Source organism: Homo sapiens, chromosome 17, assembly GCF_000001405.40.
Source record: "Homo sapiens chromosome 17, GRCh38.p14 Primary Assembly".
Lineage (NCBI taxonomy): Eukaryota > Metazoa > Chordata > Mammalia > Primates > Hominidae > Homo > Homo sapiens.
The window spans coordinates 69,875,505-69,896,702 of record NC_000017.11 but is presented as its reverse complement, the minus strand read 5'-3'; the positions used below and the strand labels follow the sequence as shown (position 1 = coordinate 69,896,702).

Genomic DNA, 21,198 nt, shown 5'->3' with positions numbered 1-21,198 from the left:
GATCTGGGTGCCTTTTAGAAGAACTGCCTTATCTCCAGTTTCTGTTTCTTGCCTCATCCTTATTATTTTCTTTTTCCCCATGGCTCTATCTGCACTTTGCTTTAAAATTTACTCATCAGTGATTCCCAGTTTTGTTTTTTGTTTGTTTGTTTTCTAGACAGAGCCTTGCTCTGTCGCCCAGGCTGGAGTGCAGTGGTACAATCTCAGCTCACTGCAGCTTCTGCCTCCCTGGTTCAAGGGATTCTCCCACCTCAGCCTTCCAAGTAGCTAGGACTACAGGCGTGTGCCACCACGCCTGGCTAATTTTTGTATTTTTAGTAGAGACAGGGTTTTGCCATGTTGGCCAGGCTGCTCTTGAACTCCTAACCTCAAGTGATCCATCCACCTCGGCCTCCCAAAGTGCTGGGATTATAGGTGTGAGCCACCGCACCCACTCTGGTTCTCAGTTTTCTTAAAACAGACAAAGGTATTGCCTTTGAGCCCAATGGTAAGAAAATTAGGCTTATCCCTTACCTTGTTAACTCAAGAGTATTTACACAGTCTTTCAATTTTGTTATCAACTATCCAATGTTAGAATTTTCCTAGTTCAAAGATTACAACAGGATGGGGAGAGAAGAGGTGAGGTTTGGGCAAGTAACACGTTCTTGGTGAGAGGCCATGTTCCCTAAACTTTCAGATGGCCAGCACTGATTGCATTATGACATCTGGAAAATTGGGACCAAACTTCAACAGTGTGGCTTGGAACCAGGCATGTAGATTTTCTGAGCCCTGGTAACTTTAGGCCTAATTACCCCTTGTCTGATCTCAAAAACAAAAAGCAAACTAACTGGACTCCATGTTTCTACTGATCCCTCCACAAGTACCTTCTCAGCACATCAGCTGAAGTGCTCTTCTTCAAATATAATTCAGATCATACGTATCCAGTGGTGCTCTATCATGTTCAGATTAAAATCCCAACTCCTTCCCGTGGCCTAGGTGCACTGGGCCACTACCTACTTTCTATCCTCTCCTAACACTCTCCCCTCCATCTCTCAGCTCCTGCTGTACTGCCTTTCTGCTCATGTAACATGCCACAGTCCTTCCCACCTTGAGGACTTTCGCACATAGTGTCACATCTGCCTGGGACTCCTTCCCCAGAGAGTTGATGGCCTGTTTCCTCTTTTCATTCAGGTCTTTGCTCAAGTGTCAATTCCTCAGAAAAGTCTTCCCTGACGCCTAATCCAATACCCTTTCTCAAGCCTTCTTCTCTCCACTGGCCTGTTGTGCTTTGTTTTTCCTCAGCACTTATCACAACCTGAAATCACATCATACATTCTTTTTTCCCTTTTTATTTGTTGTCTATCTCCCCTACTAGAAGATAAGCAGGAATTTCTTTTTGTCGTATTCACCAGTATCTTACCAGTACCTTGATAAGTGTCCAACATATAGTGGATGCTCAATAAGTACTTATAGAATTAACAAACGTGAGAGATAAGGAGACTGTATCAGTTAGTCATCAGGGTCTCTCTGTAGCTTCAAGTATACTGGTCCCGTCACCACATTCTAGAAACAAATATCAGCCTTGATAATGAGCCAGTATGCACTGATATGAGCATCTCAGTATAGTAAATATTTCTCAGTATGTAAATATTTCTATACCACTTGGTAAACTAGCTGCTACCCTGAATCCCCTTACCATATCTTCTGCAGCCTCTTGAACTCACCACAATCCCACAATTAAACTGTTAACCTTTGGGCAGAGCAGAGGGCCCCTTGTTTTCTGCTCCAGATTAAGGTCGATGTCCATTCCAGTTGTTCCATACCTGAGATGCATTGGTTGTTAAGTATTTTAGCTATGATTCCTGATGGTAGCTGTGCTATTGAAAGAAGATGACACATGGAGGGGCACCCAGTCACCAAACAAAGAAAGGGAGGATTGAAAAGAAATAAAAGGAAAGGAAAAAGCTTCCTGAAGCCAAGAGCAGCTATCTTTCAATGTGGTGGAATAAAACTTGCACCGTCACTCTGTTTGGGGAACAATAAATGGGAAATCTGGAAAATAAATACAAAGTACACACTTGTTTTTTGCACTACCAATACCACATGAAGAGCAGAGTAATTATGTATTCGAATATCATTGCTGGGAAAAACTCTGTGTGACCCAAAGTTCAATACTCAAACACATTGGTTCCAGGCAGGATTGCTTTTCATGGTAGTATACCCTTTCTCTTCTACTGCCTTGCTTCCAAAGGAAATTAGATACTGCTCCTATTTACCAGAATGGGAACTAATAAGGGCGTCTTCTTGATTATAGAGCTACAAGATCAGCACTTTCCCTCTTGCTCATAAGAAACCACATAAAGTAAAACAACAGAAACCTGTAAGCATGTCCCCAGCTAATCACCCTGACCCAGCAGCAACTTTCTAGAGGAAGGAAAGTGACCAGAGTGAAACAAGTTGATATCAGCACCATCTTCATTTTTTTCATGCTGCGTCTCCCGGTCTGGATAGATCCAGATGGACTCACATGGCGTCCCAGCCCCTACAATTGCTTTACCAACTTCTCCAGGGTGGTGAAGGAGGAGATTAAAAACAATTCAGTGTTCTCACCCCCCAAATCTCGTGGTCCAGAGACTAAATCTAGACTCCTACATTGTGTTCCAACTCCCCACTCCCTACCTAAGTCTCCTTTATTCACCAAACTTCTATCCAGGAGGTCAAACGGATGACCTGAGTCTCTTTGGAAGTTCTTTCCTCTCTCCAACTCACAGCATCCCTTACATTTTTTTCTATTTTAGGGCATGGTACTGAGCTTTTGCCTTGGGTCAGTGCTAAGCAAACCAACATCCATATTTATCCTTGTGAGTGAAGGCCCTATTCCAACCCCTGGATTTCATAGCTGGCATCCTATTATGTGACCTGGATTTGTCAATCCCCCTAAATGGGATAAAATCCTTAAAGTCAGAGTTCCCACAACACCACCTACAACACACCTAGACTGCCCACCACATGTGCTCTGTCATCCAGAGTGGACTTTCTGGTGTGACTCGCTGGATCTTAATTTGGCTTTTTTGTCCTTTGGAACCTGGACTTGGGACTGCCCAGCTGCCATTACCAGGATCAATCTCCCCAGCAATCTCTTAGCCCTGTCTCACCTGCCTTTTCTCAATAAATAGGTCCCAACGTGATTCTAACTTTATGAGCTCCCCAGCAGCCCCTTGCCTCTAACATCCCAACATATTTCATCTTCCAGCCCCTTTATTCTGGACCATGAAGCACTCCATCTACTTGAGTTGATAAAACACACCTTGAGGATTTTTACCAGTTGGGAGAGCCCAAAAATTACTCATAATTTTATTACTTACAACCTCATCCCTGAAAACAAAAAGGGAAGATGTGCTCTCCACACTATTAACAGACGGGCTAAGTGTCATTGTGTAGCCCAAGCAAAAGTTGTTTACCTCTTAGTGCCTCAGATTTAAGTTTTTATTTGTTTCATCTTGTTACGATAAAATGTGACTGGAGCATTCTGCTTTCACATATATTTATTTAAGAGGATTTTACTCCATTATGTAAAATAAAACAAAAAAGATCAGTTGGGGGGAAATGTAACATAAGTCCATCATTTAGTAAACTTTTCCAATTATATCTATTTGACTCTGACTTTCTGCCCAGATACGAATGGAAAGGTTTTTTGTTTGTTTGTTTTGTTTTTTGTTTTTCCATTTAAAAAGCAACTATTGGCCAGGCGCGGTGGCTTACGCCTGTAATCCCAGCACTTTGGGAGGCCAAGGCAGACAGATCACCTGAGGTCAGGAGTTCAAGACCAGCCCGGCCAACATGGTGAAACCTCGTCTCTACTAAAAATACAAAAAATTAGCCGGGCGTGGTGGCGGGTGCCTGTAATCCCAGCTACTCGGGAGGCTGAGACAGGAGAATCGCTTGAACCCAGGAAGCAGAGGTTGCAGTGAGTCGAGATTGCACCACTGCACTCCAGCCTGGGCAACAGAGAGCGAAACTCCATCTCAAAAAAAAAAAAAAAAAAAAGCAACTATCTTCCACTGAAAATAGTGCAAACCAAAAATGTATCTTTTTTTTGTTTTGTCTAGCCATATTTGCTGTCTTTATCTCACAATGACCTTTCCCCAGCATATTTTTCTGTTTCTCTTTAATTAATGCCCAGTTTCTAAAAATAAAATGGCTAGTGGATCTTTGGATAATATTATTATTTCATTGGTACATACAATCAGGAAACGTATTTCTGTTTATACTCTTAAATCAGTTGAGAGTTGTAGATGAAGCCACATTCTGTCAGCACATTTTTTTTCCCAAAACCTGGAAAATGTAACAAAATCCAAAACAGCTGTAGGAAGTAGAGTATACACTCCATTTGCACTCAGCAGGAGAACTAACAGGAGGTAACGGGATAGTTTCCACATGAAAAAGTTACAAAGAATTTAACCTGTAATGAAAACTCTGATAATCTCTAGGAATGAAAGGTGCTTGGATGATGGGTTAGGGGTTTTTCATAAGTTCAAAGATCTGGTTTTCCCTATAAATGCTATGCAGGAATCGGAGACGTCCATGTGGTCATTGTTAACGTCTGATGGCCAACAAAAGTTCAGGCTTCATCATTAAGCCATTAAACTGTGACTGTGTGTGCATTTTAAGACTATGGATTACCTGCCCAAGCCTGTGTTTTCGAAAAGCATAGAAAGCAGAATCTCATCAGCTTATCACCATCTGCTCCAAGATAGAGACTCCGGTGCGTGGGTGTCAGTTTAAAAGTAGTTTCCTCTAAGATTCATTATGTGAAGCTCCTATAGCCTAGAGCTTCTCAAACGTTGGTATGCACATGAAGAATCTCTGGACCTTGTTAAATGCAGATTCTGATTCAGCTGGCCTGGGTGGGATTGGACCTGAGATGCTACATTTCTATCAAGCTTTCAGGTGGTCTTATGCTGCTAATCCGTGGGCCACCATTGGGGTAGCAGGAGCGCAGAGGATTTCTGCCACAACACCACTATCACATCTGTGGTAGGCAGTCTCTGAAATGACTCCCAGTGATCCCACCTTCCTGATATTCAAGCCGACATGAAATCCCCTTCACTTGAGTGTAGGCTGGACCTATTAATAATGACTCACTTCTACTGAACTGAATGCGGCAAAAGCAATGGTATGTTTCTTCTGAGGTCAGGTAATAAAAAGACTGTAACTTCAGTGTAGGTGTCACTCTCTCTCTCTCGAACCCCTGCTCTCGATAAAGCAAGCAACTGTCTACGTTGTGAGTGGCCCCTGGAGGGTCCCATATGTCTCCAGCCAATAGCTAGTAAGGACCTGGGCCATATGAGCAAGTTGGGAAGTGGATCATCCACTAGTCAAGCTTTGAGATGAATACAACCTCTTCTAACACCTTGTTTGCAAGCTCAAGAGAAATCCTGAGCCAGAGGTACCCAGTAAGGCCATGCCCAAATATCTGATACAGAGAAACAGAGAATAAACATTTATTGTTTTAAGCATCTAAATATTGGAACAATCAGTTATGCAGCAATAGATACTAATACAGCATCACTCATAAAACGCTCTTTACAAAAGTTAAATTTTTAAAAATCGGTACTTAGAGAATATTTTATTAGCCATGACTAAGGGCCAAACATTTTGGATGCTCAAAATCCACACTTTTGTCACCCTGCTTCTGAGGGTATCCATGCACCACTGAGGCTGGACTCATCTTTCCTGATCGCTTTGAAATTGGGATTGAGATTTATAGACTCTCTTTACTTTGGGATTCAAATCAGTTTAGTTAGAGCTAACTCAGAGAACAATTAGTTCAGGATCCTTTTATAATGTGAAATCCTGATCTTTTGAGGATAGCTTAAACCAGAACGCAGTGTGGGATATGTGAGATATGGCCCTCTAGTCTACCAACTTAGCAGAAACTCGTTGATTTTCTAGAGCTTTCTGAGGCAAGAGCAAAGTAATTCCACTGTAAGAAAGACAACGCGTATGTACAAAAGAGGCAGGGCAGAAGAGTTAAAAATAAACCAAAGATAGCTGTTCGCCGCCTTATTGACTTGCTTTTGATTCCTGTTCTTGGACACAGAGGTTCCCACCCCTTTGTCTTAATCTGCACTTGAACTGACCTAGGTTCCTCATGAGGACTCAGTTTCAGAGAACTGAAATTCTCTGGCTCTTAATTTCAGCTTGTGATATCTGCACTTACTTTTTTCTATATTTACCTTACTTTCGTGCAATCAGATTTTTTAGAAGGGAGGAGAGATCAAAGAAGAAAGATGTATTTGGAAACTTAAGGCAAAATTGTGATATGTTTTGATGGCTTGAAAGGATATACTATATGTATATCTGATTTCAAAATATGCCCACATAACTCTTTTCCTTTCCGTGTCCATGGATATGACAGCAGCTTACTTAATTATTACCACATCTGGACTATGCTGCACTCATTAGTCTCCAGTCTCTTGATTTTCTGAATCACAGTGTCACTCTTCTGCACCCCAAAACTTGGACAGTGCTGCAGGATCCATAGGTTAAGCTCACCGTTCACATCTCCCTAGATGTCCCATTCAATATACCTTTCCAACATTATCATCCATTGCTCTTGTCCTTGGACCGTTCAATCCCGCAAATCCTTTTCTATACCATTGTTCATGCCATTCCCCCTTCATATTCCATCTCTCTTTTCTTCCCACATAAAAAAAATTATCCTCAAATCATCCAGATCTAGACCAAATTCTGCCCACTCCAGGCCACAATGGTATCTCCCTTCTCTGAAGAAGGTGTGTTTAGTTTGTATGGCACTTGCTTAGAATCTTTCTTTGCCCCTTCCTTCCACTGTTGTAGGCAACTGTCATTTCCCTCTTGCATCACTACATCCTCAGGTGCTCATGTATTATTATAATGCACTGTCATTCAAGTGTTCACAGATTCCTTTCACAAAGAAATTGTTAGTTCCAAGATTAAAGGGACGCTGTGTTTACGTTATTTACTTATTGATTAAACATCTAATTTCTCACATTTTAGAAACTCACTTAATTGATGCTCAATCAATATTTGGAGGGGGGAATCTAATTTATTTTTCCAAATTTTTTTCTTATTAACTTATTTTAATTTTAGTTTTAATTTAAATATGTATTTATTTAGCTTATTTTTCCAAATGTCTTGAGCCTACCCAGAAACTTCTTTCTTGTACTAGGTAGTACAAAAAACACAGTAACTAAATCAGTGACTAAACAAGACCATGAAGCGGCTAAATTATGTATATTTTAAAAAATCTGACCACACTCAAGGTGACTTTTTTCTGTCTACATGCTTAATTAGCCTATCTCATCAGACTCTGTATTTACCGGTGTGTGGGCACACCTACTTCCATGGATTTCAACCTGCCTTATCTACAGATAACAGTCAAGTTTAAGGAGAACGAAATATCTCACATTCTGAATATACTGCTTTAAAGCTTAGATTCACAGATTGTTAAAACTAGAAATAATCATCAGGACTTGTTTTCCCGTATCCTGATTTTATTGAGGACTGGAATGGCTGTGGCACTTGCAAATACTCATAGGGATATGCACAGTAGGGCATGAGCTCCTGATTCCCAGCCCTGGCGCTCACAGCCTCTCTGTGCTACTCCTGGTCCTCCAAACGCCAAGATACACCATTTAATCTTTTTTTTTTTTTTTTAATTGAGATGGAGTCTCACTCTGTCACCCAGGCTGGAATGCAGTGATGAGATCTTGGCTCACTACAACCTACGCCTCCCGGAGTCAAGCGATTCTCCTGCCTCAGCCTCCCGAGTTGCTGGGACTACGGGCATGCATCACCACACCCGGCTAATTTTTGTAATTTTAGTAGAGACAGGGTTTCACCATATTCGCCAGGCTGGTGTCAAACTCCTGACCTTGTGATCCACCCGCCTCGGCTTCCCAAAGTGCTGGGATTACAGGCGTGAGCCACCGTGCCCGGCCACAATTTGAATCTTTAATAAGCCTTTATGTGAGGATATTATTGATAGAAGCTGAGAAAACTGATGTTAAAGGTAAGTCCTGGGAGGATTTACTAACTGGCGTCAAAGGCTAGGATGGCAATGTGTATTAAAATAAGTCTTTGAAAAACAAACAAAAAAAGGCCTTGAAAGGCAACCAGAATGAAAGGGCACCCACTTAAAATATGAATTATTAGTGTCCACCCTACTCACGCCACACAACTGCTACACATGTGTATACACGCACACTCACAGATGCTGATTTTGGCACTGTGTGGCCTTAAGTATTGATTGATCAAATTGAGCTAGGAAAAAAAAGTCTACAGTCCTGAATTTTTGATTTGTCAATCAAGGAAAGGGAATTATGTCATTATTCAACAGTGAAGATTATGTTCAACTCATTTATGTACATAGACAACTCATTTATATTGACTTATTTTAATACACATTGCTGTCTTTTCCTTAGACGCCAGTTAGTAAATCTTCCCATGCTATATGACAGCCAGTCCTGGAGAAGAAGAAAATCACCTATCCCAGGAAAAGTGGGTAGGCACTGAGAAAGAAGAAAAATCAACACACAAGATGAAGGCCATGGACCTTTGAAAGGCTGTTGCCCAAATTGAGAAGGAAATCCTATTTTTGCTTGCTAATTTCAGGGAGAAAAAAAATAAGGCAGTGTAACTATACATAAGGTGAGTGGGTTTTTGTTGTCGTTGTTGTTTTTGGACATAGAATCTCACTCTGTTGCCCAGCATGGACTGCTGTGGCACAATCTGCATTCATTGCAACCTCTGCCTCCTGGGCCCAAGCGATTCTCCTGCCTCGGCCTCTCAAGTAGCTGGGAATACAGGTGCATGCCACCATGCCCGGTTATTTTTATTTTTATTTTTTTGTATTTTTAGTAGAGAGTGTTTCACCACATTGGCCAGGTTGGTCTCAAACTCCTGGCCCCAAGTGATCCACCTGCTTTGGCCTCCCGAAGTGCTGGGATTACAAGTGTGAGCCACCCCACCTGGCCGAGGTAAGTGCAATTTTAAAATCCATGTCACAAAGGATTTTCTGGGATCAGTTTGCCCTGCTTGTATGCTTAATGTTTGATATAGAGCTAATTTAATATTTTCTGTAGGTTATGAGACAATCTCAATGATGGACTACTTGTCCGCCATTTGAAGAAGTCAAAGAGGATTAGGACACGCATGCATGCATACACACACACATATTTTCAAACTGGTATCACAACATCTCAATAATTCATAGTGAAATTGAGTAAAAGTCCACCAATACAAGTGTGACAAGAACATCAGTAGTGACCTTAAATACCATCATTTTAATCATTCCCAAATACATCAGACTTAAGGATTAATTTATGTCAATCCCTGAAATTGTATTATTCTCTTTATCTGTTCCTAAAAGGAAACAAAATAAAAATTCCCCTCCTTAACTCAAAGACCTCAGAAGATAAAACTATGGAATTTTCCCTGACCACCTGGAAACCTTGGGCATGTCTTCAGAAATACCATGTTCTATCGCCATCTGCCACCAACAAGCAATCAGGCACATTGTCACCCTGTCGCAGGGACATGTGTGTATATATGCCTCTGGGTGAGTACGCATGAGAATCTGTGCGTGTGAATGTACATGTGTGTACATGTGAGTGTGTGCAGGGGTGTGTGAATGTGTGAGTGCATTAAGAAAATCTTCCTAAGAAGGAAATGGAAAATTACTGGTCTAGATGGAAACTAAAAATAAAAACTTAACATATGAGAGGTGTTTTTTTTTTTACAAACAGAAACATTTTATGTATGCTACTTTGCTCCAAGAATTTATGCCACAAAGATTCCTGTTTTATTGAAGAATATCATTTGTCCCCAGAACAATGTGAATTTGAACGATGGTAAAAGGGAGATCTCAATCGTTTCTATCTTGGCCCCCAAGTCCTGTGACATCTGATGGTAATGTAAGCGTCCTGGAAACAGTAAACTATCTCATACATATTTATATTGGAAAATGTACCCATAAATATTCAGTTTGAAGCCCCCATCTGTACTGTTCTTCTGAGGTAGGTAAGATTATGCTAATCTCATACAGGTAGCCACTAAAGTGCAAAGTGATTGGTTTAGCAAAACACAACTATTTTACTTGCAAAATATTATATTTAGAGAAAAAGCTCTGGATTAAAATCTTGACTTCACCACTTACTAGCTCTGTGATTTGATTAACTTCTCCATGCCTCAATATCTGCTTTCCAAACATTTAGTTGATAGTATGAATACCTGCTTTACAACATTATGGGTAAAAAATGAGTTAATGCATGATAATTTTAAGCTCTTAATAAATGCTTATTATTATTACTGTAATTACTACAAATTTAGAACTAGCAATAGTACTTTTGACGCCTAGTCCTATATCCTTCACATTGGCAATGTGATATTGAGTGCCTTAACACTACAACCTACAAATATAGTTGTTTTCAGAGGAAGAAAACTTAGGTAACAGTCAGGCATTTAACAAACATGCATTGAGTGTCTCCTTGTGGCTTGATGAGTGTTGGAAATGGTGAACAAGATAGACATAGACTCTGCCTCTTTGAGCTATTGTTTCTGTAACCTATAAGAAACTTATTTATTGATTCTACTCAAAGAGAACAATGGTGGATACATTGGGATTTTAAAACATCATTCTTCAGTATTAACATCAAGTACATGGCTTAAGGACCATTCAGGTATGCTCGATGTCCTTTTTCTAAATCTCAAGTACTTAAAGAAAAGGTAAGGTAAGAACAAGATCTCTAAGGTGGCAAATATTTCTTGAATTCATCAATCTTTTCAAGCTCTTTTTCTTTACCTTCAAAGAAACTTATCCAGCCAACCAAAACTTTTCAATAAGAAAGTGTGGTGCCCCAGAAGAAATACAGAATGATTTTTTTCTTTTTCTAGAGGTTTACTGCTGATTGCTCTAAAGATAGGGGAAGAAGTAGGGGAGGAAAATAACCCCAAATTCTCTTTGGATCAAGATGAAATGCTCTAGCAACATGAACCAGAGGGAGGCATCTAAGGGAAATGGTAATAAGCAACTCTTCATTGTTTTGGAACAAGTGTGCCTTCTTTGCTCACTAACAATCTATCGTTGAGTGCCACGGTGCTGTTTCATATCAAGATTGCAAAAACCATTACAAGCTGCATAGGTATTGGAGGCTCAACCAGATGTGATGAATTTCCATTGTTTTACTTAGTGCATGGAAAATATTACTAATGGCTGGTGTCAGGGGAGGCTTAACTGACCCCAATTGGCCAAACTCATCTGGGCGCATTTCTGTAAGTCAGACCCTTTAAATACTCTCTCCTGTTATTTCACAGGCCCCTCTCCCGTTTTATGAGATGTTTGACTATATAAAGCTCATTTTAGTAAAGGAGAAATTCCATGACTGCATGAACAGGTGGTCTGGGAACCTGGGAGAGGAGAGGGATATCTTTCCTTGAGACCGAATTTTATTTACAGCCAATTCTTGATTATCTTTGGACACACAAGACACACTTGAGCACAATGAAGAAAATAAAGTCTGAAAAATTCCATTCAGTCTTTTTCCCTGCCATTATCTTCACAAGAACTGCTAAAGGTTACAACAATTACAAATCTAATTGAGCAAAATTTCATCTCCTGTTGCAATTCAGGAGATGAATTCACTTCCTATTCCGTTTTTCCAATGCATCAGCTGAGCTACAATCAAGCAGTTAGAAGAAAAAGAGAGAAGGCCTTTGAAAATCCCTTATACCTATACCTAGAGTTGACATTCAAGTTTTGATTTTAATATATGATTTGCACTTTGAATTTTCTTGGAGATATTGATAATAACACATATCAGATAAATACCTGACTTCCACTTTCTTAATATATCAAGGTTTCCAGAACAACCCAGTTCTTGCTACAGTCACAGACCTGTTCTTTCCTTTTAGTTTAGAAGGCTTCAGAATGTGTCAAATTCTTCATTTTCTGCCTCTAGAAGTCTCATTTACAAAAGACATCCTCTTTTGTAAACTTGACATTGTCTTTAGATATTAGCTCATCAAGACCCAGAGTCCAGTTTCAGTTTAGAGGAACATGGAAAAATTTAAATACTTTTCTAAACCTTGTGTAACTTTATCTGAACTCCTGTGTCTTTATGTGAACTCTTCTTATTGGCAATGAGTTGGAGATCCCCTGAGTATAAGTTTCCTTGTAAGAAGTTTTCTGGCATCTAAAATTTAGCCTTGAAATTATAAGTTAAAGAAAAGGTTAAGACAATAAAATGTGACTATGAATTTGGAAATGAACAACATTTTAGTGAGCTTCCTATTTTTTTTTCTTAAATGTGCAGCTCATTAAACAGAATTTTAGTGTGCCGTGGCATTGAATTTTGAGACCTTCTTAACAGCTATTACATAAATGTACAATGGGCATTATTTAAAAAAAATCAAAACTCACACACCTCTAGCCTCTGAATGATGGTTTTAAAATATAGAATAGGAGTATCATTGGCCAGGCGTGGTGGCTCACGCCTGTAATCCCAGCACTTTGGGAGGCCGAGGCGGGTGGATCACGAGGTCAGGAGATCGAGACCATCCTGGCTAGCACAGTGAAACCCTGTCTTTACTAAAAATACAAAAAATTAGCCGGGCGCAGTGGTGGGCGCCTGTAGTCCCAGCTGCTTGGGAGGCTGAGGCAGGAGAATGGCATGAACCCAAGAGGCGGAGCTGGCAGTGAGCAAAGATCGCGTCACTGCACTCCAGCCTGGGCAACAGAGCGAGACTCTGTCTCAAAAAAAAAAAAAAAAAAAAAGAGTATCATTAATGAAAAACAAAGCCCTTCACCATGCATGACAAGTACCTGCTTTTGCTGTGCAGTTGATGTATTTTCATTGGCTTCTTAATTGTTTCTGTTAATAGTGTGGGTCCCTGCAAAAGATTACTCGTTGCTAAACTGGGTACTCAACTGGAGGTTTTGCCTCAATATTATGAAAGTTGACAGAACTGAAGAAGGGAAAGAAAACAGAGTGACTTGTCTCAAGAGAACCACTACCAAGGCTGAAAACATCAAACGTCATCACAAATAGTTGGTCTGAATTCCGCTGGGTCCTGCAGTCTTGTTTTTAAATGATCCTGAAAAACCAAGGTCTCAGAGCCGGCTTCAATACTTAGAGCATGGGATGAGTTTAAAAACTGAAGGGAATAAATGAATGTGGCATGGAAGAAAGCCTTACTCGAGAAGTACCATGAGTATTTCCCAGGGCATGCTGCTGTCAGAAATCACTGCAGAAATATAATGGAATTTCTAATTTGCTTTAATTAGAAAAAAGTAAACACCGCCCTCAACATGTCATCATGTTTATATAGAAGCCCAACCAGCTGATTTTCTGCTGGGATGGCCCTGGAACCACTCAATTAAATCTCAGGGCACAGTTTCTTTTTATGAATGAAATACCATTAGTATGAGGCCAGAGAATTTTTTTTTTCATCTGCTTCATTGGCTGTGTCTCTACAAGGACAAGTGACCAAACACAGCACCTTCCGATTTTAATTAACCAATTATAATTTCCAAGACTAGATCATTTAGGATTCTTCTTTTCAAGGCATTTACTTTTTTATTTTATTTATCTATTTATTTATTTATTTATTTATTTATTTAGAGATGAAGTCTTGCTCTGTTGCCCAGGCTGAAGTGTAATGGCATGATCTCAGCTCACTGTAACCTCTGCATCCTGGGTTCAAGAGATTCTCCTGCTTCAGCCTCCCGAGTAGCTGGGATCGCAGGTGTGCACTACCATGCCGATTAATTTTTGTATTTTTAGTGGAGGTGGAGTTTCACCATGTTGGCCAGGCTGGTCTCGAACTCCTGACCTCAAGTGATCCGCCCGCCTTGGCCTTCCAAAGTGCTGGGATTACAGGTGTGAGCCACTGTGTCAGGCCTGACTTCTTTATTTTAAAACTTTCCACTTTGCAAGACTAAGGAAACAAAAATACTTTATTTCTAGCATCCAATGATAACAGCAAAAAAATAAAAATTAAAAAATAAAAGAGAGAAAGAGAAGTTTACTTCTTAATATTTCAGGTATTTAATAGTTTTATAAAGTAAAACCGTAGGACTGTCAGATCCCATGAATTAAAATATTGATAGAATTTCTGTGGAGCCGGAAAGAACCTTGGAAGTTATCTTCATGTTGCAGATTTTACAACAGATGCTCATTTTTCATAAATGTCATTGTTGAAGATATGGCCATTTAAAAATAGCTTTGAGTCAGCCCTACAGTTTTTCAGATCTATGAAACATGAATCAGAGTTGAACAAATTGGGAATTTTTTTGTTTGAGAAGCTTAGAAGTATTAATAAATAATCCTACACATTTTTCCCATGAAAAAGGAATGAGACTATGGCAAATATTTCTAGTAATTTAGAGCAAGGTAATATTATAAATTGTTATAATAAAAAGTTTTTCTGTTATTAATATGAAAGGAAGCAATAGTATTATGATTCTCAAAGTCCCTCAAACACCTGCATACTTTAAGCAAAGTGACAAGAGATAAATCTAATTCTGGAATGCTGGGGACTTTTTCTCCAACTCATCAGCTCTACACCTATTTCAACCTCAAGGTGAGTACAGCTGTATTATGTGCATCCCAGTGGGGTATGGGGAGGGGACCAAGGGAGCTCTTGCAATGCCCAAGTTCAGTCATTGAGATTTGCTAAACACACGTGAACAAGATCCACACTTGGGTTTTGGAAACACTCTCAACCAACACCTCTGATCTCAAAGCTGTGTTTCATACAAAAGACAGGGACAATTGCCTTTCGAATTGTCCTTTGCCTAGTTAATTTCAGAACTTCAACAAGTCACAATCATATCACCTTTTTTTTCCATTTTTTTTAAACATGAGGAATACTAATGTTTGCCCTACATAAAAGGTTCTTGCAACTCAAAGATCCACACATGGGCATGCACATTCATAATATTTGTATAGTTTCTTTCAAGTTTTGAATACTCCATCAGTGCAGAGGTCAGGTCTGAAGAAAATTGGGCCACCCAAAAATGAAAGATAAACAATAAACAAAACAAAGCTGAATATCTTTTATAAGAAAGTACATATAATATTCTTGATATATTTCACATCACCTTCCAAGTGTCTAACCTACACATGTGTACTTGAGTTCTGTTCATCTTTCATTTCAAAATCCAAAATGGACTTAAATTGAAAGATTCAAGAGCCAAATTTACCTAGAATAAGTGATAAAAACAAGACAATGGAGTCGCTTCTACAGGGGCTTTTGTGTATAAAATGAAAAGTGAAGTTCCACCTATCACACACACACACACACAAAATTATTTTTTAGCCTGTAGTATTCAAATTTTATTTTACTTCCCATATTGAATCTTAAATTACTTCTTCCCTGAGAAACAGTAATAATCTTTACTGGTTTTATGGCAGAGTTGATTGTATCCAAGGCAAAATGCACCATCCATCAACATCAGATCTTACCACTTTTGATCGTCAAGCACATTGCGTCTTAATTTATCGGGACTGTCAGATCCCAAAAGGGCAGCTTGTAAAATTTTTTTTTAACCACCCTTCACACTAGACATCTCCAAACATCTTGCTTGGGAGGAGAAGTTCTTAAGGCATTTCTCCAGATAAATCAGGATAAAAATCCAGAATTAGACTACATTTCTGGTCTTTGAGCCACACAATCAGGATGAGTGGGGAATACAGTGAGTGCTTGATATTTCTAGAACCATGAGTGTACTAGAGATACGTGGGTGATGGCTAGTGCTCCGCGGCCCACACCGTCACTGCAGGCCAGCTACCACCTCAGATGGCAGCTGCTTATGTGAAGGACCAGCTTGTGTAAATCCTGATACCAGCTCTTTGTCAGTGCCTAATGGTTATCTTCAGCTCAACATGAACATATCTAAAACTATCACCTTCTCTCTAAAACTTATCCAACATTCCCCATCTCAGTAAATGTCCCCAGCACTCATTCAGTTTTACAAGACAGATGCCTGGTAGATTTCTTAACCTTCTATCCTTTTTCACATTCAATCCATGACCAACTTTTTATGTTCATTTTTCTGAGTTAACTATCATATTTGTCTATCTCTTTCTCTATTGACTGTCTCATCATAGTTAAAATTATCTTCCTCTTTCCTAACTTTTCTTCATGTACCAGTCTAATTCCATTGCAGTTCCCTGTAAATAGGGTGACTGTATGTCCTAGGTTGTCCAGGGCAGCAAGAGTTTTAATACCCGTAGTCTCAGCATAATTAGCAATGACACCACTTTTTATTCTCCAAACTGCCCTGATCTAGATAATAAATTATGTTATTACAACACATACAAACAGTGTCTCCTTTCAAAACTGCAAGTCTAATTATACCATTTCCTACCTAAAACTCTTTAATGGTTTCTGCTAGTCCTTGGAACAAAGTCTAAACTCCTTGACCTGGTTTTTAAAACTCTGATTAGCCAGGGTTCTACCTTACTTGCCAGGCTCATCTTGGGTAAATCTTTAGCTGCCTCACATTCTAGGATTCTGTATTTCTCCTGTGATCATTCTAATCTCAATTTTTTTTGAATTTCTTGGTGGTTTGTTTATCCCATAGAGTTTATAACTTAAATGCACAGATGATATCTAACTGCTCATTATTATATTCTCAGTACACAGTGCCTATTAGTCATTCAAATATCAGGGTCATAGCAGAAAAGAATACCTAGTTGCAAACATACAATTAAATGAGAGATAACAGCCCCAGCAACCTGACCCTATTTGGTCAAAGTCGGATGACAAAGGATGCTATATATAGCCAGAATTCAATTATAAAATTTTATGCAAATGTAAATAAGCTTCACCAAAAAGAGAAAATGGATGTCATCATTATTAATTTATCCTTGTATTATTATATATTTTCATTATTGTCATGTCATCACTAAATAGACATCAAATGCAATCATTTGTCAATTATCTATATGCAACATCCTCTTAGAATAATACCACAAGTATTTTACCACTTGGCCTTCCAGCATTAGAAGATAATGGCCTCATCCTACACAAACTTGATATAACTTAATTATATGAAGAAAAAACAATGAAGAAAATCTGCTGCTTAAATTGCTATATATTCTAATGCATTTTAAGGTCAAATATGAATTTTCCTTTTTTATTAAAAGTTAAACATTAAACAACATTAAAAATGTCATAGAAGCATTAAAGATGCTATTCCAGATTATATATGCAATGAATAATGCCCCTTTTAGTATGTCTTATTATTACAGATAATTTTTTACATATGAATACTTTAAAAACACAGATCAAAAAGACAATTGTTTTTGATCTGGTCCTAACGAGATCAAAATTACTCTATTCTTTTTGCAGAACTCCAAACTCCATCTTTGCTGGCTGGGAGCTCTCTAGTCTGCCAATGAGCTGACACCAAAGCCTTCTTTTCCCAGTAGCTCATCATTCATCATGATCTTTAAGATGGCATTACATGTCAACCTATATATTTCTGGTTCCAAAAATAAATATTGCTGGTAAAGTAACAAAAACAAAACAAAAAAAGCTATCTACACATTTTCTTCTCAAAACATATGCCAGCCCTTTCTCAAGACTGCAGAGGCTGAGTCTTGAAAGAATACCATACCTAGATCCCTGTAGCACATTTCTCAAATATGACGACCCCACTCTAAGGACGCTTGCTTCTGGTCAATTCTCTGTCTTTCATGTTCAAGCACTGAGAAAATCCAGAAAGAAGACAATGAATAATGAGTAGTATTATTTCTTAAATAAAACACATCATTTTTCATTTCCTCTTTAATAGTTTTCCAATGGGAATTGAGTCATTAACAAAAGAATTGTTCTAGGAGGTGTCATGACAAAAATTTCCTGCATTATGTAAGAATAACAATAGTATGAACCAAAGTATGCAAAAAAAGCTCTTACTACCAAGCCTGAAAGCTTTTGAGTAATTGACAAGTTACATTTTTGAGATATAATTCACATATCATGAAATTCACCCATTAAACTATATAGTTTAGTGCTTTTTAGTATTTTCACAAAATGGTGCAACCAACACCAATGTCTAATTCCAGAACGTTTCTATCACCCCCTAAATAAGCACTGTACTCATGAGCAGTAGTTCCCCATTTTCCCCTACCTCAACCCCTAACAAACATTAATCTTTCTGTCTCAAAGGGTTGGAATATTCTGGAGATTTCACATCAGTGGACTCAGAATGTATAACCATTTGTGCCTGGCTTCTTTCACTTAGCACACTGTTTTCAAGGTCGGTTCATGGTGCAGCATGTGTCAGTACTTCTTGTTATGACTGAATAATCCCATTGTATGGACATAGCACATTTTGTTTATCTGTTGATCCATTGATGGACATTTTGGTTCTTCCTAGTTTTTTGGCTATATAAATAATGCTGCTACAAACATTCATGTCCAAATTTTTGCGTTGACATGTTTTTCAGTTCTCTTGGGTATATACTTAGGAGTGACATTGCTGAATCATCTGGTAACTTCATATTTAAATTTTTGAGGAACCACCACAGTGTTTTCCATAGCAGCTGTACTATTTTACATTTCCACCTGCAGTATATGAGTTCCAATTTCTTTATATCTTCACCAACAATTGTTATTTTCCTTTTAAAAAAAAACAATTATAATCATTCTAGTGGGTTTGAAGGGGTGTCTCATTATGGCTTTGATTTGCATTTCCCTACTGACTAATGATGTTGAACATTTTTTCATGTTTATTGGCCATTTATATATCTTCTTTGTAGAAATATCTATTCAAATACTTTGTCCATTTGTCTATTTTTAAATTGGGATTTTTATATTTTTATTGTTGAGTTGCAGGAATTCTTTACATATTCTGCATGTTTGTCCCTTTTGATATACATAATTTGCAAATATTTTCTTCTGTTCAGTGGATTGCCTTTTCACTGTCTTGATGATATCCTTTGAAACACAAAAGTCTCAATTTTAATGAAGTCCAATTCATCTATTTTGTTGTTGTTGTTGCCTGAACTTTTGGTATCATATCTAAAATCAGTTGTCTAATCCAAGGTGAAAAAGATTTATACTTTTTTTCTAAGAGTTTAATAAATTTAGTTTTCACAATTAAGTATTTGAGCCATTTGGGGTGAATTTTTGTATATGGTATGAAATGGTTTGGCTGTGTCCCCACCCAAAGCTCACCTTGAATTGCAATAATCCCCACGTGCAATCCCCACGTGGGGCCACGTGAAGATAACCAAATCACAGGGGTGGTTTTCTGTATACTGTTCTTGTGATAGTGAATACGTCTTACAAGTTCTGATGGTTTTATAAATGGAAGTTCCCCTGCACAAGCCTTTTGCCTGACTCAATGTAAGATGTGCCTTTGCTCCTCCTCTGCCTTCTGCCATGATGGTGTGAGGACTCCCCAGCCATGTGGAACTGTGAGTCTATTAAAACTCTTCTCCTTTATAAATTACCCAGTCTCAGGTATGTCTTTATTAGCAGCGTAAGAACAGACTAATACATGGCATAAGGTAGGAGTACAACTTTTCCCAGAGCTATTTTTTTGAAAAATCTATTCTTTCTTCATTGAATTATCTTGGCACTCTTGTCAAAAATTGACCATAAATATAAAGGATTATTTCTGGGCTTTAAAATCTATTCCATTGATTTATATGTCTCTCATTATGCTACCACTTCCTTTTTTTGATTGTAGTTTGTAATAAGTTTTGAAATTGGGAAGTTTGATTCCTGCAGCTCTGTTCTTCTTTTTCAAAATTTTTTGTCTAGTCAGGGTGCCTTGCATTCCCATATAAATTTGAGGATTCACTTGACAAATTCTAAAAATAATGGTAGCTAGGATCTTCAGAGTGATTGTATATCATCTATAGATCAATTTGGGAAGCACTGACATCTTAAAAATGTTTTCTTCTAATCTATGAACACAGGACATCTGCCCATGTATTTAGGTATTATTTAATTTATTTCAACAATGTTTTATAGTTTGCAGTAAACAAGTTTTACAGTTCTTTTGCTTAATTTATTTCTAATTGTTTTATTCTTTTTAATGTTGTCATAAATGGAATTATTTTCTTAATTTCATTTTTGAATTATTCATTTCTATTATATGGAAGCACAGCTGATTTTCATATATTGATGTACCCTGCAACATTTCTGGACTCATTTATTACCTCTAATAGCCTTTTATTAGATACCTTAGAATTTTCTATATACAAGATCGTGTTGTCTGCAAGTACAGTTTTATTTACCCTTTCTAAAATGGATGCTTTTTAAAAATTGCCTAATTACCCTCACTAAAACTTTCTGTATGTTAAATAGAAGTGACAAGAGTAGATATCCTTGTCTGTTTCTGATATTTGGGAAAAAGATTTCATTCTTTTTTCATGAAGTATGATGTTAATCGGAAGTTTTATCAGAGTGAGGAAGTCCCTTACTCTTCCTAGTTTGAGTGTTTTTTGTGTGTGTTTTTTTTTAACATAAATAGTTGTTGAATTTTGCCAAGTGCTCTTTCTGCATCAATTGAAATGACCATGTAAAGAAGTTTTCTTTTATTTTATTAGTTTGGCCTATTACATACTGATTTTCATTTTGTGATCCCCCTTGCATTCCTGAGATAAATCTCACTTGATCATGTCATACAATCTTTTTTATATATTGCTGGATTGGTTTGCTAGTATTTTGTTGAGTATTTCTGCAATTATATTAATAAGGGATATGGTCTGCAGTTTTATTTCCTTGTGATGCTTTGTGTGGTTTTGGTATTTGGTATAATGCCCTCATCGAAGGCGCTGGGCAATGTCTCCTCCTCCTATGTTTCTTGAAAGAGGTTGTGAAGGATTGATATTCATTCTTTTTTAAACACTTGGTAGGATTCATCAGTCATTCTTGTCATCATGTCCCAGGGTTTTCTTGTGAAAAATTTGTTATTACTAATAGTCACTTTATTGTTATAAGTATATTTAGCTTTTCTATTTCTTCTCAAGTCAGTTTAGGTAGTTTTTGTCTTTCTAGGAATTTGTTGACATACAACTGCTTATATTCTTTTTATTTCTCTAGGTTCAGTAGTAAGTACTCCCATTCATACCTGATTTTGATCATTTACATTTTCTCCCTGTTTTTCTTGGTCAGCCTACCTAAACTTTGTCAATGTTGTTGATTTTTCCAAAT

The 21,198-nt window shown here is 38.1% G+C and overlaps 1 long non-coding RNA gene across 2 annotated transcripts in view, besides 1 other annotated feature; it reads right to left on the bottom strand.

The window, feature by feature from the left end:
• The window catches only part of LINC01483 (long intergenic non-protein coding RNA 1483), a 309,014-nt gene that overhangs the window by 6,298 nt on the left and 281,518 nt on the right, over positions 1–21,198 (bottom strand). The window contains exon 5 of one of the 2 annotated variants that reach the window (NR_109971.1): positions 17,648–17,737. The exons of the other annotated variant lie outside the window; for it this stretch is intronic. This is a non-coding gene — a long non-coding RNA (long intergenic non-protein coding RNA 1483). The remainder of the gene's footprint in view (positions 1–17,647; positions 17,738–21,198) is intronic. 2 annotated transcript variants of the gene reach the window in all.
• Positions 18,288–18,488: a silencer, noted in NCBI's record as "peak2973 fragment used in MPRA reporter construct". NCBI's record gives its function as "represses an SCP1 promoter by STARR-seq MPRAs in K562 erythroleukemia cells {active_cell/tissue: K562}" and the evidence as "EXISTENCE:reporter gene assay evidence [ECO:0000049][PMID:32103011]".